General features: G+C 37.7%; 1 protein-coding gene across 4 annotated transcripts in view; it reads right to left on the reverse strand.

Moving 5' to 3' along the window:
- The window catches only part of HYDIN (HYDIN axonemal central pair apparatus protein), a 428,639-nt gene that overhangs the window by 279,365 nt on the left and 133,606 nt on the right, over positions 1-15,668 (reverse strand). For all 4 annotated transcript variants that reach the window (NM_001270974.2, NM_017558.5, NM_001198543.1 and 1 more), the window contains exons 11-12: positions 12,369-12,487; positions 6,853-7,076 (exon numbers count right to left, since the gene is read on the reverse strand). In NM_001270974.2, coding sequence (NP_001257903.1) covers positions 6,853-7,076; positions 12,369-12,487 — 343 coding nt within the window. The remainder of the gene's footprint in view (positions 1-6,852; positions 7,077-12,368; positions 12,488-15,668) is intronic.

A 15,668-nucleotide genomic window follows, 5' to 3' on the forward strand; every position in this document is an offset into this window, starting at 1 on the left:
AGGCCGACAGGCTATATGCTTCACTTGAAAAAAAGCTTTTAGGGACCAAAGTAACAAATAGATCAAAAGTGTCCGACATGCGCAAGATGCTAAAGAAAGTAGGAAAGAAGTTTAAAAAATTTACACAAAGCAGACATTTAATCAATGCAGAAGTTTAAACAACCAGAGATACATGACACTTGTTCAAAGGCACATGTAACTGAGGGAATTGTGGCTGAACCATCCCATCTGGACTTAGATATGGTCACATTAATTCTCACAGGGATTCAGAATGTTAGGACAATCTATGCCAAGGCTGTGTCATAAATCAGTGCAGGGGTCTGTTAAAACTATAATTTGAAAGACAAGAGAGAGAATGATTCAATTATTACAATATGTAAGTGAGACAAGTTGAATACAAAATGTATCTGTGCTATGGTTCAAACTTTATAAAATCACATACATAAAAATAGGAGGGAAGAAAATTGCTTGTGGGTAATTTAAAAAAATCACACTAATTTTAGTGTTGTTTATCCAACCACTGAAAATATTGTGTTATATAACTGGAAGAGTAAACAGAAAGAGTGAAAGTATAATATTTGTTATGATCTTTCAAGGCACATTAGCTAAAATACTAGCTTATGCAGTACTGAGAAATGAGTACCTGGCAATAAAAAAGTAAGAAACAAAATTCCAGAACCTACGATATTAACTTTATAGACATTTCCTGGGCTACGAGGCCCAAGAAAGTATTTCTGACAAAGTAAAATAACAAGTCAAGTCAGTGTTAATGTGTGGAGCTGAGAACAGATGATGTATTATACATGCATTTTTACCCTTTATGAATAGACATTTATTCATGACACTAGATTTTTAACAGGTTTTCAAAATTATTGTTAGTGGTTTGAAATGCTACAAACCACTAACAATGCAACACTATTGGACAAATGAAACACTGAGCTTTAAAGGAAGTGAACTGAGGAGGAAATTTATGTAAGTCTATTTCTCTTAGCAATTGATCATGAGTTTGGTGATAAATCCCCATAAAGATTCTTTCCATAGTCAGGTTTGTTGAAGGAAACTAGAAATGAACATCCAAAATCAAGAAGTGGCATGTGAATTTTGGTAAATGGAAATGTCCAGAAGATAGAACAAGAGGCTTACCCTGCACAGAGCAGGTGGAGTACTAACTAGTCGAAGTTCACTTGTGAGCAGATTCCTGGGAGATCCCTAAATCCTATTATTCCCAATGGAAAACCCAAGTACACCTTAACCTATTTAGACATTGCAAGTGACATGCACGACTACTCTGGGATCTTTAGGAGAACAGATCAGAGATTTAAAAAATTCACCCAGGAAATTACAGAAGTATTATTCACTATTACAGCCTCCTGGAATTTTTTTTTAAATGACAGCTTCATTGAGATATAATTCACACATCATACAATTCACACATTTAAAGTGTACAAATCAATGTTTTTTGTATATTCACAAATATATGCAACCATCACTACAGTCAATTTGAAAACGTTTTTATCACCTCAAAAAGAAACCTCATGCCCTTTAGCTGTCACCCACTATCCTGCACCCTCCAGCCCTAAGCAACCACTAATCTACCTCAGATCTATATAGATTTGCCTACTTTAACCATTTCATATAAATGGAATCATGTAATGTGGTCTTTCGTGACCGGGTTCTTTCATAATGTTTTCAAGGTTCATAATGGATGAACCTTATTTTCAAGGTTTATAATGGTGTCATTATGGCTGAACCTTGAAATCATTATGACAAGTGAAAGAAGCTAGTCACAAAAGACCGTGGTAGCAAGGTTCATTCATGCTACCATGTTGTAGCATCTATCAGTGCTCCATTTTTTTTCATTCCTTTTTATGGTCAAATAGTATTCCATTGTATAGATATAACACATTTCATTTATCTTTGGCTACTATGAATGATACTGTTATAAACATTCATGTACAAGTTTTTGTGTGGATATATGCTTTCATTCCTCTTGGGTATATACCTAGGAGTGGAATTGCTGGTCATATGGTAACTCAGTGTTTACATGTTTGAGGTGCTGATAAATCATTTTCTAAAGTGGCTGCCATGTCTTACATTCCTAATTACCAGTGTATGGGAGTTCTCATTCCTCCACCTTTTCACCAATACTTACAGTAGTTCCTTATCTGTAGTTTTGATTTTCTGTTGTTTCAGTTACTTATGGTCAACACGGTCCAAAAATATTAAATAAAAAATTTCCAGAAACAAATCAGTCATACATTGTTAAGTGCCTGCCACTTTGCGTAGTGTGATGAAGTCTTGTGTCATCCACTCTCTGTCCAGCCGAGGTCATGAGTCACCCTTTTGTCCAGTGTATCGATGCTGCATATGCTACCCGCTCTTTAGTCACTTAGTAGCTGTCTTGGTTATCAGATCAACTGCCACAGTATTGCAGTGCTTGTGTCTGAGTAACCCTAATTTTACTTTTGCGCTTTGGGGCCTAAAAATGCAGATAAAGGGAAACTACTGTATTTTCCATTTTAAGATTATAGCCATCCAAGTGAGTGTGAAGTAGTATCTCATTGTGGGGTTTTGATTTACATCTCCCTGAGGATTAATGATATTGACAGTCTTTTCATGTGTTATTGGCCTCTTGTATATCTTCTTTGAGAAATGTCTGCTTAAACGCTTTGTCCATTTTTAAATTGAATTATTTATTGAGTTATAATTGTCCAATAATTTATTGTCCCTTATCAGATATATGAGTTGCACATACTTTCTCCCATTGTGAAGGTTGTCTTTTCACTTTCTTGACAGTATCCCCTTTGAAGCACAAACTTTTTTACATTCTGATGAAGTCTAATTTATTTATTTTTTCTTTGGTTGCTTGTGCTTAGATGCTGATTATCTGAAAACTATTGCTTATTTGGTTTTTGGATATGGATATTTAACCCTATCTTTTTGTTTGTTTGTTTTTGAGACAGAGTCTCACTCTGTCACCCAGGCTGCAGTGCAGTGGCACAATCTCCGCTCACTGCAATCTCCGCCTCCTGGGTTCAAGTGATTCTCCTGCCTCAGCCTCTCAAGTAGCTGGAATTACAGGCATGCATCACCATGCCCAGTTAATTTTTTTGTATTTTTAGTAGAGACAGGGTTTCACCATGTTGGCCAGGCTGGTCTCGAACTCCTGGCCTCAGGTAATCTGCCTGCCTCAGCCTCCCAAAGTGCTGAGATTACAGGCATGAGCCACCACACCGGGCCTATCCATATGTTGTCTTCTAACAGTTTTATAGTTTCAGCCCTTACATTTCAGTCTTTGATCCATGTAGAGGCAGTTCCCTTCTACTCCTAGTTTGTTACTTTTTTTTTTTAATCATAAAAGGGTGCTAAATTTTGGTAAATGCTTTTTCTGTGTTTACTGAAATAATCATGTGGTTTTTGTCCTTTATTCTTATTAATATGTTCTATTACATTGATTGATTTTCTTATGTTAAGCCAACCTTTCATCATTCAGGATAAATCCCACTTCGTCATGGGGTATAATCCTTTCCACATGTTGCTGGATTTGGTTTGCTAGTATTTTGTCAAAGATTTTTGGGTCTAAATCCATAAAGGTTATGGGTTTTTAGCTTTCTTTTCTTGTAATGTTTTCATTTGGTTTTGGTATCAGGGTAATACTGGCCTCATAAAATGAGTTGAAAAGTGTTCCCACCTTCTTATTTTTTGGAAGAGTTTGTGAAAGATTTATGACAATTCTTCATTAAACATTCAGTAGAATTTACCAGTGAAGCCACTTGATCTTGTTTTTTGTTTGTTTGTTTTTTGGTTGGAATATATTACAGGTCTATTCAGATTTTCTATTTCTTCTTGAGTCAGTTTTGGTAGTTCGTGTCTTTCTAGGAATTTGTTCATATCATCTACATTATCTAATTTTTGGCATACAATTGTTCATAGCATTATCCACTAATCCTTTTAATTTCTGTAAGGTTGGTAGTAATGTCCTTTCTTTTATTCCTGTTGGGTAGAGTGTGCTGTAGATGTCTGTTAGGTCTAGGTGGTTTATAGTGTTCAACTCTTCTATTTCCTTTGTGATCTTCTGCTTAGTTTTTTATTATTGAAAGTGGGGTATTGACATCCCCTACTATTTTGCTGAATTGTGTATTTCTCCCTTCAATTCTATCTGTCTGCACTTCACATATTTTGGTGCTCTGTTATCAGATGTGTGTTTATAATTGCCATATCTTTTTGATGAACTCACTATCTTATCATTGTAAAATGCCCTTCTTTGTCTTGAATAACAATTTTTATTTTAAAGTCTATTTTGTCTGATATAACATAGACTCTCCAGCTTTCTTTTGGTACTGTTTGCATGGTGTATATATTTCCATCCTTTTGGTTTCAACCTATTCATATCTTTAAATCTAAAGTGTGGTATCTTGTAAAAAGCATATAGATACAAGATAGATATCTTGTAAAAAGCAAAAAGATATAGATTTTTGGCGGGGTTGTTTGTTTTGTTCTAATCCATTCTGCCATTCTCTAACTTTTAATTGAAGTATTTAATACATTGACATTTAATGTAATTGTTGATAGGGCAGGACTCATGCTACTTATTTTCTATATGTCTCATGTCTTTTCTGTTCCTCTATTCCTCCATTACTGCCTTTCTTTGTGTTAAATGGATATTTTCTACCCTTTTGAATTCCTTTGTTATTTCTTTTACTGTATTTTTAAGTTTCTTTAGGGAATAGTTTAAAGAATGGGCAATCCTGAATTTGGGTAAATAATTCAGAGTCAAAAGTGAGGGCAGTAGTATTCATGCATCAGGAATGTCTAAGAAACCCAAATACATGAGTTCTTGCACCTAATATACAACCTTGCTTGAAGGAGGTACTCAATAAGAGTTTATTTAACAAATATCCAAAATACATATTTATTCCTAAAAGGGGTAGCTATGTATGTTGATGGTAAGACACAGTATTATTAGGCCTGAACTTAAAATGGGGAATGGCCAGGTGAAATTGGGATGGGCTTTCTTATTAAACTTGAGGGGCAGTTAGCCTTCCTTGGCTAGCACTTTCCCTTTCTTTCATCTACCTGAAAAGTAAAACTGCTCCTTTAATATCCTATACTTTCCTTCCTACAGATAGGGCCATTATTCCTTCTATCTTAAATGTTTTTAGAGCAGAGCTTAAAGGTTTTATCTTTGCTGCTTACGTATGAAGGCTTGCTTATGATACTGGATGTTGTCAAGGGTGCTTATGACTCAGAGCAATACTTCCTGATGCCCAGTAGTCAGCTTCCAAGAGTTGATCTGCTGGATCTTATCAAAGGCCCTCATGGGACTAGAGGATCCGTGAATTGGAGACAAGGTTATATTCACAAGTTTGTTCTTCCTACTTCTTCAGAGAACCACCCTTCACTGCTTGTCATGAGAGATGAGATGTTATGAAGGTAGGAAGTGGGCTGAAGTTCATATAAATGAAAGTGTATTCCCACCCTTCTCATGTTGTATACATACCCAAAGGATGTTAACCATGGGCTGGGATAAGCACGGCACATATTCGTGAAGAGTCAATGTTATTCAAATATTTGGAAAACAACCCTCATTTTTCTCTTATAACAAACACACATGTATTATGGAAGAGAACGTAAATGTCTTGTGAATGTTTCAGATAAGTCTTGAGACTTAAAAATAAAAAAGATTATGTTTGTGACAGGCTGCTTTGGTCATGCCACAGAACCCTTGAGGCACACACGTTCACTCTCCTTAGTTGTTGGGGGTTGTATGACTTTGCTAGGGCTGCCATAACAAAGTACCCTAGACTGGGTGGCTTAAACAACAGAAGTTTATTTCTGTTGCTGTCAGAAGGGTTGGTGATTGCAGGGTTATTTTTTTCTGAGGGTCTCTCGCTTCAGCTTCTCTTTATTTTTTCACATGGCCCTTTTCTATGTGTATGTCTGTGTCCTAATGTCCTCTCCTTATAAGGACACCAATCATATTGGATTAAAGCCCACCCATCTGACCTCATTTTGCCTTAATTACCTCTTTAAAGGCCCTATGTCCAAGAAGAGTTACATTCCGAGGTACTGGGTGTTAGGACTTCAACATATAAATTCTGCGGGAAACAATTCAGTGCATAACAGGGACACTGAGGTGGAAGAGTTGAGAATAAATAGTAATCACCTTTCAGCTAATCTTGAGATTCTGAATGTATAGTATATATCATGAGATCAGTACATTTTCCTTGGATCCTTCAGGTCATATGTCTCTATCTCTTTTCTATGTTATCCCCAGGGCTTGCCCCAAGGGAGACCTCAGCTTGTAGATGGAGGGAGGTCTTGCTAGCAGTTACCAGAATAAGAGAAACTGCCATGGTAATTAACAACCTGCTGCTGTGGGAATCCAAATAGAGTCAGAGCAACGTGTTTACAATGCTTGGAGACATAATAGTGAGATCATGTAAGTAATTTCCTTAAAATAAGAACAAAAGACAAAAGTTTAGAGAAACTGTGATAATGGCCAAAGCTTAGCCCAGATGATTTTATTCAGGTGTTACTGTAATAACTTATTTTCTCTAAACATCCTAAGACATAGAGAGTAACTAGAAGCTAGTTTAATGTCTAAATCCTTATTTTATAAGACTATAACTTGTAGAAAAACTAGATCTCCAAACAGCATCTGTATCTATAATAACTTATACATGCTCACTAGGGAAACACTGATGGAAATTTAACACACTCTATTATGCTGATGTGTTCATATCAACAAAGATAGTCATCAGCATCCAAGACAGGATCTACTTAAAAAGCTAAAAAGGCAATAGGTTAAAACTTCTGTTAGTTTCTACATTCATTATAAATGTACCTTACCTAATGGTCAGTTTCACAGGCTCAGGTGACCCATTGACATTGACCAGGAACTCTTCTTCAAAGTTTCCCAGGATGGTAGAGCTGAAGGAGATCTGGATAGCTTGGACTCCACTTGGTTCAATGATGCCTTCCTTGGGACTGAAAACAAAGCAGGCCCCCAAAGCTGAAGTTGGAGGGGTCATGTTGAAGAGAGCATCGATGCTGCCTTTGTTGTACAGTATCGCCTATATCAATAAAAGGCAAGAATGTGAAGGTCAATGGGCCTCTGACCTATTTTCATATAAGCATGTGTCTGTACTGTTTAACAGCAACAAAGGGAAAGTTGCAGAATTAGAACCAAAGAAGAACACTCAGGGACAAATGAACAGTCTGATGCCTTGAGTGTTTGAAGATAGAACTCCCAAGCCAGAAAGTAATTTTACATTTTTAGTCTCCTCTTTAACATGAAATTAGTCATATATATTATGCTCGTGCTATAAAGACTGATCATAATCACATATACTGATGAAGAGCCTTAAAATACTCCCTTTTTTGCTACTCTCTATAAAGTAACCAAGGGAAAGTAAGTATTTCTCTTATACGCATGAGAAGGCTGAGGTTAAGCAGCATACTTAAAAATAAAAAGCAAGTTAGAATAGCAGAGTGAGAATTACCTAAACCTATGTTTATAATGTAGCTTGAAGAATGTAAATGAGACATCACTGTGGATCCCAGATGACAAGGGTTCTCTTTGTTGTGCTATCAGATTTCATCCTATTGAGACATTTTCATCTCAGATTCTACTGGATGGATGATTGTTTTGAGATTCTTATGCAAGCAACTGTTTTACTATAGAAAAGTTGTACTCCTATATTCTAGTGTTCTGGAAGCATGTTATTGCCCATAGGTGGTTGCACACTGGGTTTAGTGTGTGCATGTAAAGAGCTCATGCCTGAGCTCCTTCATGCACACTCGTGATATTAGGCGTCCTACAAGGCAGGCCTCAGTCTACTGTCCCTACAATTCTTGTGCATGAACCTTCACTACAGCCATGTTGTTCTATCCTGGCTTCCAAAGACACCACCTCTGATCCTTGCCAATGCTGTCCTTACACCTAGAGGGTGAACAGCATGTTTTCCTGATTTATATAGGAACCACCCTCAACCTACACATAAGGCTTTGGAGGACAAAGAGCATGAGAGATCTCAAAGAAACTTTCAGAAGGTTAGCAGGCAAATGTGACGTGTGTCAGGAACGCGGAAGCTGAGGGAGGAGGATTCCCAGAAGAAGTCAGATGCAGACAGAGGTCAGGAGAGTAAGTCTGGAGCAAAGGTTACAGACATTATTTTTAGTTAGAGATTATTGTCATCCCTGACCTTGAGGAAGAGAGTAATTCTAGTGGGGCATGACTGCAGAATCCAGAGGACAAATATTTAGGGAATTGAGTGGGTGTACAGGAAATAGTGGCTGACTATTTTAGATTCCTGTTTTGAGAAGATGAGTGGTGAAAGGTGAGAATGGGAGTGGCAAGACTGTGGGGAGGTACTGTGGAGGAGACAGCATATTTATAATAAATGAGATAATGCATATTCAGTGCTCAGCCTAGAGGAAACACTCACCCAAGTGCTGCCTGTTGTTGTTGTAAGAGAAGAGAGCTTGGTAACTAAGGGAATGGGGTCTGAGTGGAGGCAGAGGAGGATGAGTTCAGGGGCTCAGGTTGCAGGGAAGAGGGCATCCAGAATATATGATGGAGAGAAAGAGTCGGCAGCAGAGGCAGAGCAGAGGAAGACAGCCTCTTCTGCCAAGAGAAGACGGACAATGCACCAAAATAGAAGCATAAATAATTGCTGCTTGCTATTTTATTCATCTTTTTATGTTTCTTTCGCATCTCCCTCATTCTAAGGTCCCTGGTAGCAGGAACCAGGCTTCACCCTTCATTGCGTTTAAAGAGACCACGTAGAAAAGTGATTATGGCCAGCGACTCTGAAGCCAAACTGCCTGGGTTCAAATCTCAGCTTTGCCATTGACTTACTAGCTCTGTAACCTTGGACAATCTACTTAGTTTCTCTGTGCTCCAGTTTCCCCATGTGTAAAATGTAAGTACTACTAACTTCTCATATTGCTGTAAAATTAAATTTATTAATTTATGTAATTTTTAGAATAGTGCTTGGCAAATAGTGCTTAAAAATGACAGAGACTGTTATGTTTTCGTTTGTTTGTTTGTTTTTTGTTTTTTAAGAGACAGGGTCTGGCTCTGTTGTCCAGGCTGGAGTGCAGTGGCGCCATCATAGCTCACTGTACCCTTGAACTCCTAGGCTCAAGTGATCGTCCTGCCTCTGCCTTCTGAGTAGCTGGGGCTATAGGTATGTGCCACCACACCCAACTAATTTTTGTGGGTTTTTTTTTGTAGAGATGGGGTCTTTCTGTATTGCCCAGGCTGGTCTTGAACTCCTGGGCTCAAGCGATCCTTCCACCTCAGCCTCCCAAAGCACTGGAATTACAGACATGAGCCACCACACGTAGTCAGTGACTGCTATTTATATCCCCAGTGCCTAATAGAATGGGTTTAAATTTTACCTGTGCTTAAGAAGTGACTAGTACGTACTAGTGGTAACATGAAGGCAAATTGAAGGCATTAGTGGTAACTTGGAGGACCCTGTTCTTCTCTTTCAGAAGATGCATGGATTGCCTTTTAGTTTTTTTGGTTAGCAGAAATGTTTTGCCCATATTTTCTGTATGGTGAGAATTCCTCCATTTTTAAGAATATGACATCATTCTTCTCCTCCTGAGAAATAAGCACCTACTTACGAATACAGAAACCAGCAATAGTTTTGGGACACAATTCAGAGGCCTTTTGATTACCGATAATACTCTTTCCCTTGAGGTCTAGCTCCTTGGAGAGAAGAAAATTTATAATCAAACTTTGCCTCTCATTTGTTTTCCTTCTTAATTACACTGGGGAATAGGGTATACTCTTGGGGTTAATGGTTTATTCTTTATGTATCTGCTATGTTCAGCAATGACTAAGGGCAATAGCTAGTTATTCAAATTTGTCTCAAGTAGGTAATGCAATAAATTGAAAGAGAGATGCAATGAAGCATCAGCATTAAATACGCAGACAGTGCAAAATATTCCCATAAGAAGCACCTTACCGTGTCCTTCTCTGCCACTGCACAGCTCTCCAAACTGTCCAATCTGATGCATCACCTCATTGAACACTTATTTAACTGGCTGTGGTTTGCTTTACTATTAAAATTAGGGAGGGTGGGAAGTGGTGGCCTCAAGTACACTTCTGCTAAATTTACATTCAGGGAAACCCTATCCATTTTGCATCAGAACTAAAGCTTCTTTTCTGATGTGGCACTCATAAGTTCAGTCTGTAAGATACAGGAAATTCACACTGGATGAATTACAGACAGAATATCAGTTTAATGAGAACTACTGGACTTTTTTTCCTTCTCCCCAAGTGACCTCTCAAATGCAATCCAGGACAGTGTGGGATATAGCTGTGTCACTTGTCATTTCACGACAGCCATGCGACTGACTTCTTCATTTACACAGGGTTCCTATGCATAGTCCATCTCACTGTGACATTACCATCTCTGTTTACCTTCTGCATCATCCCATTTAGGCCACAGTTACTTTGTGAATGTGGGGGATGCAGGGTACTGTCCCCACACCAGGTTAGGCTGGGCTAAGAGCCAAGTGGTTTGGAGGCTGGGTTTACCCGAGGTGAGAGGTTGGGATGCTGAGAACCTGAAGGGTTGAGAGGCCAGCAAAGGCCTTCTTTTCCCAGAACAGGAGAGAGAGCCCTAGTCCCCCAGGACTCACTAACATTACATGCTGCAGGACCCTGCCAAGTTACTTAACTACCCTGGCATTCAGGTTTGCCGTTCCTTGAATGCACTTCCTCTTTTACTGTGCAGACAGCTAATGGAATATGAATGTAAGTGAAATGTGCTACCATCTATAAAAATATCATATACGTTCCCCCATGCCCTTTCCCCTTCCACAATCTTGTAGACCACGTGGTAGGGGTGGCCAAGCATGAGACGTTCCAGCTTCTCTGCTGGAAGAGAGCACCTGCTCACTAGAAACCTTTGTTTTGGACTTTATGTAAGGTGTAAAAGAAACTTCTAGCATATTTGAGACATTATGTATTTTTGTATTTGTTTGTTACAATATCTAGCACTACCTTAACTTCTCTAAGACTCAGTTTACCCAGCTATGAAATGGAAATAGTTAATCGTACCTCACAAATAGTTCTCACAAATAGGTTTTTATTGTTTTGGGGTGGTTTTTGTTTTTTTGTTTTTTTTGAGACAGAGTCTCACTCTGTTGCCCAGGCTGGAGTGCAGTGGCGCGATCTTGGCTCACTGTAACCTCCACCTCCTGAGTTCAAGTGATTCTCCTGCTTCAGTCTTCCAAGTAGTTGGGATTACAGATGCCTGCCAACATGCCCTGGTAATTTTTGTATTTTTAGTAGTGATTGAATTTCACCATATTGGCCAGGCTGGTCTTGAACTCCTGACCTCAAGTGATCCACTGCCTTGGCCTCCCAAAGTGCTAGGATACAAATTGGGTTTTTGTGAGGACTAAATGAACGAGTGAAGGTCAAAGCACTAGCACTGTGCTCAACACACATTAAGGGAGATGTGTATGATATTAACTACTACACGATCCACATTTCTCATATGCAAAATAGATGTAATAAAGCCTAACTTTCACAATTTGGTAAGGATTAGAAATCACACACACACACACACATAGACATGCACACACAATAAAGTATGAATCTGAATCTGGCACCTATTTGTCACTCATTAAATAATTGTTTAAAATACCTCTATAAAAATACAAACATATACAATGAAGGAACTTTCCCAAAATGAAGTTTCAAGGGTTACAGTCTGATGTAATGTAAAAAATGTGCCCTAGATACAAATTTAGTGATGGGGAGACACTGAAGTAAACACTGATCCTGAATAACTCATGCATACATCCTGTAAAATTTCATTTTCTAATTAATTGGAAAGATAAAGCAGGAAAGTCTCTTCCAGAAACTGATTGGTTTTTAAAACATGGATTGGAGACTAGTGCATTAAGAGAAAATTCTGAAATGTGAAAACAGCTATGCTCATTAGGACGTTCTAGAAAATGTAAAAGGTTATCTATCCTCTGATCTGTGGAATTTATGTTGTCAGAGAACAAGCACTAAACAGATGGGGAGATGTATTTATGAGTTTTCCCTTTGCAATCTACAAAACAATGAGGATAAAACCAGTGAAACTATGGCTTTGATGCTTTTTAGCTTTCACTAAAGTGAAGGAGGGCTAATGAAGATAAAAAAGTTGTTCCCCTCATGATGGCCAGGCAGGAGGAGGAAGAATCTGAGCACTCCAGGGTCTCAACAAGGATGAGTAACGGCGAATAAATGTGATTGCATACTCTTTCCATCAAATAAAAACATATAAGATAAAACAAACCCCAAAAGCCAAGTACTGTTTGAAGTATCAACGAACAACTCTAGTGCTTACCTCATAACAATGTGCAGATCCAGTGAAAACTTTCCCAATATCCAGCAATTCAAAGTTGAAGTGAATCTTAGGTCCCATGCCTTCCCCTTTGATTCGGAGGGGCAGACGGATTTCTCGGCCTAGAAAAACAATTCAGACTTTATCATCCAAATGGTGCTTCATTTACCCCAAATCATGTTCCCTCATGTACGTTACCAATATAAATAATCAAAATTATTAAATAGCTCCCTGCATTGCACCGAGGGAACTGCAATTTAACTAACGCTGAAGATTCATCCTATATGGGAGCCAATCATAATCCTGAATGCCAAAATCCTGACTGGCGAAATTGTGAAAAACCAAAATCCCAAAGATATAATTCTGGAAAAACAAAAGACATTCTTTACAATATATTTATTTACATTTTAAAGAGGGATTTACTTGAGAAACATATAAAAACACAACAGAACACTTCAAAGGCCACTTTATGCAATAAAATAGGCAATAATAGAATGCATATTTTTGCAAGCATAAACACAGGTAGACTAACAACAGTCACATGGGTATAACAGTTATGAGCATACAAGCTGTATTTATAAAGGAATAGGTGAAAAAGGGCAAAGTACAAATGCATGTCATTATGGTTGGTAACTGCAGACACCCAGCTTTATAACTGTGATCACCTGAAATACCATATGAACAACTTAAGTCTTTTGAGAAGATAGATCAAAAACCATGATGGGTCACCCCCACTTAGGCAGTTTCCCAAAGAGCTGAGATCTCCAGAAATTTTATCTCTCACAAATTCAGATCTACAAAAAGACTATCTCTTCATGTATTGAGGAAGTGTCAGCATTTTTACGTACACACACAATGCTTACGCACAAAGGCAACGTCGTGATAATGCACTTGCATGGAGTCAAATTTCTATGTCCAAGGCAGCAGAGGAAAAGTCTGTCCCAGCTCTCAGAGACAAACCAATGTGCCTTCTGTATTTGTTCTCTCCCAAGTCCCTGGCTGGTTGGATGGGGCCTGTCAGCAATGAGGGCAGATTTTCCCCATCAAGTCCACTCAGACTTACACACAAATCTCCTCTGGAAACACTCACAGATATACCCAAAATTATGCTTTACCAGGTTTCCACCAGTTTTTACTGGTCAAGTTGACATCTAAAATGAAGTCCACAAGCCCATCCCTTGTCAACCTGGCACCCATGTGTTAAACCATACTAAATTTCCCAGTAAAGACAAGGTAATAGTTCCACCTAACATGGTACAATCAGCATAATGCAACTATCCTGTGTGCAGCTGAAAACACACTAATCGCTTCCCTAGACTTTGGTTTTCAGGATTTCAACATTTGGGATTTTAATCTTTCAGGACTGTGATTTTTGGGATTTTAGACACCAGGGATGTTAGACTTTAGGGATTTTGATCCTTAGGGGTTTTGATCTTTCAGGAACTCAAGATTCGGGATTATGGCATTTTAAATTGTGTCTTTTGGTATTGTGATCCAAATGTTTTAAGAAAATAAGAATACTGCTAGTTTCTTATCTTTAGGGAGCAGACTGTATTGCAATTTACATTTTAGCAGGAAAAAAATTAAAAATTTTAACCCAATTCTTAACATTATTCCAAAGTTTCTTACAAAGAAAAGTAATTCTAAATCAGAGAAGGGTGACCATTGATTGATGCTTCTCATAAAATGAGAGCCAACCTGGGGCTCCAAGGGACATTATTCACATTGATCTTCCTTAGATTTCGGAAGATCCAGAATATTAGGGATCTGAGTCTAGGGATCTTACCCGATGCTTACTTTTGCTGAATTTCTTCCATGTAGAGATAATGAAATGCACTTAACAATATCCGTTATAACAATTCTACAATGAACTCACGGTCAATACAGAGCACACAACCTTTGAAGTACTGACTGGTTTTGTTCCCCCTTTTTAAAATGAAACTATCTTTGTTCGATAATACGTGATCATTACAAAATTTAAAGAGAATATGAATAAAATTATCTTATAATTGCATCATCCAAAGATAACTACTGTTAACATTTTGGTGCCTATCCTTTTATATTTAATTGTATCACAATACTGCTAATGCAAATGGGAATGTATACTATGTTATTTTGCAACCTGCTTTTTTTCATTTAATAATACCTTTGGAACATTTTAACATATCATTAACATATCATACCTAAAGATCTCCCTTATTCTTCTTAATGGTTATATGGTCCACTGTTGGGAGGCAAATATGTTTAAAACTCTTATTGGACATTTAAGTGGCTTCCAACCTTTCATTACAATTTGTAGTGTAATTACTATTATCGAACATGTATCCGTGAACAATTTTTCCATATTTTCTTCCAGCACTTTGAAGATATTATAGCTTTCCACTGTTTCTGTTGAGAAGTCAGCTCATACTCTTATTGCTCAATTGAAACAATCTATCTTGTCTTCTGATAGATTTAATTTTTATGCACACATATTTATTTATTTTTGTCTTTAGCTTTCAGTGATTTTACTATAATGTTCCTAGGCATGGTTGCATTTATCCTTTCAGGGGCTTGTAGCACTTATTGAATATGTGAATAATTGTCTTTCATCAATTCTGAAAAATTTTGAGTCATTATCTTTTCAAATATTGTTTCTTCTCCACTTTTCACCTCTCTGTCTTTTGTGTGTGTGTGTGTGTTCTTTTTCTATATTTTGTCTCTGCATGCTTCAGTATTTTCAGATATTTTATTTGATTTATCTAATTTCCACTTTACAAAATCTCTCTGGCTATACCTAACAAGCGGTTAAATTCATCCACTGAGTTTTTAATTTGTTATTATAACTTCTTAGTTCTAGACTTTTCATTAGAATGTTTCTAGTTTTCAGATCTCTGCTTAATTTTGATAAAAACATTTTTAAAATCTGTGTCTGATAATTCTATGATCTGGTTCTCCTGGGTTTGTTTCTATTGTTTACTCTGGTTTTCTAGCAGATTGTCTTACCTCCTCATGTGCTTGGTCATTTTTTGATTGAGTGCTGATCAGTATATATAAAAGTTATAGACATAATTTAAAGCCACAAGAAGATAACTCCCTCCGGCTTCTAGCTGGCGACTGGGGGGCATTAGTAATCCCAGACAACCTAATTTAGCTGTTCTCAGCTAAGGTTTTGTGAGAGAATTAAGCCCCGCAGCAAATCATTTGAGTGATTATTTTCTCAACTCTCCCAAGAAGGGTAGGTAGCTAGCATCATCCTAGGTACAACAGAGATAAATTAATTCCTCATAAACAATAGACACCTTAGAACGCTAGGGATTAATT

This window comes from Homo sapiens, chromosome 16 (assembly GCF_000001405.40).
Source record: "Homo sapiens chromosome 16, GRCh38.p14 Primary Assembly".
Taxonomy (NCBI): domain Eukaryota; kingdom Metazoa; phylum Chordata; class Mammalia; order Primates; family Hominidae; genus Homo; species Homo sapiens.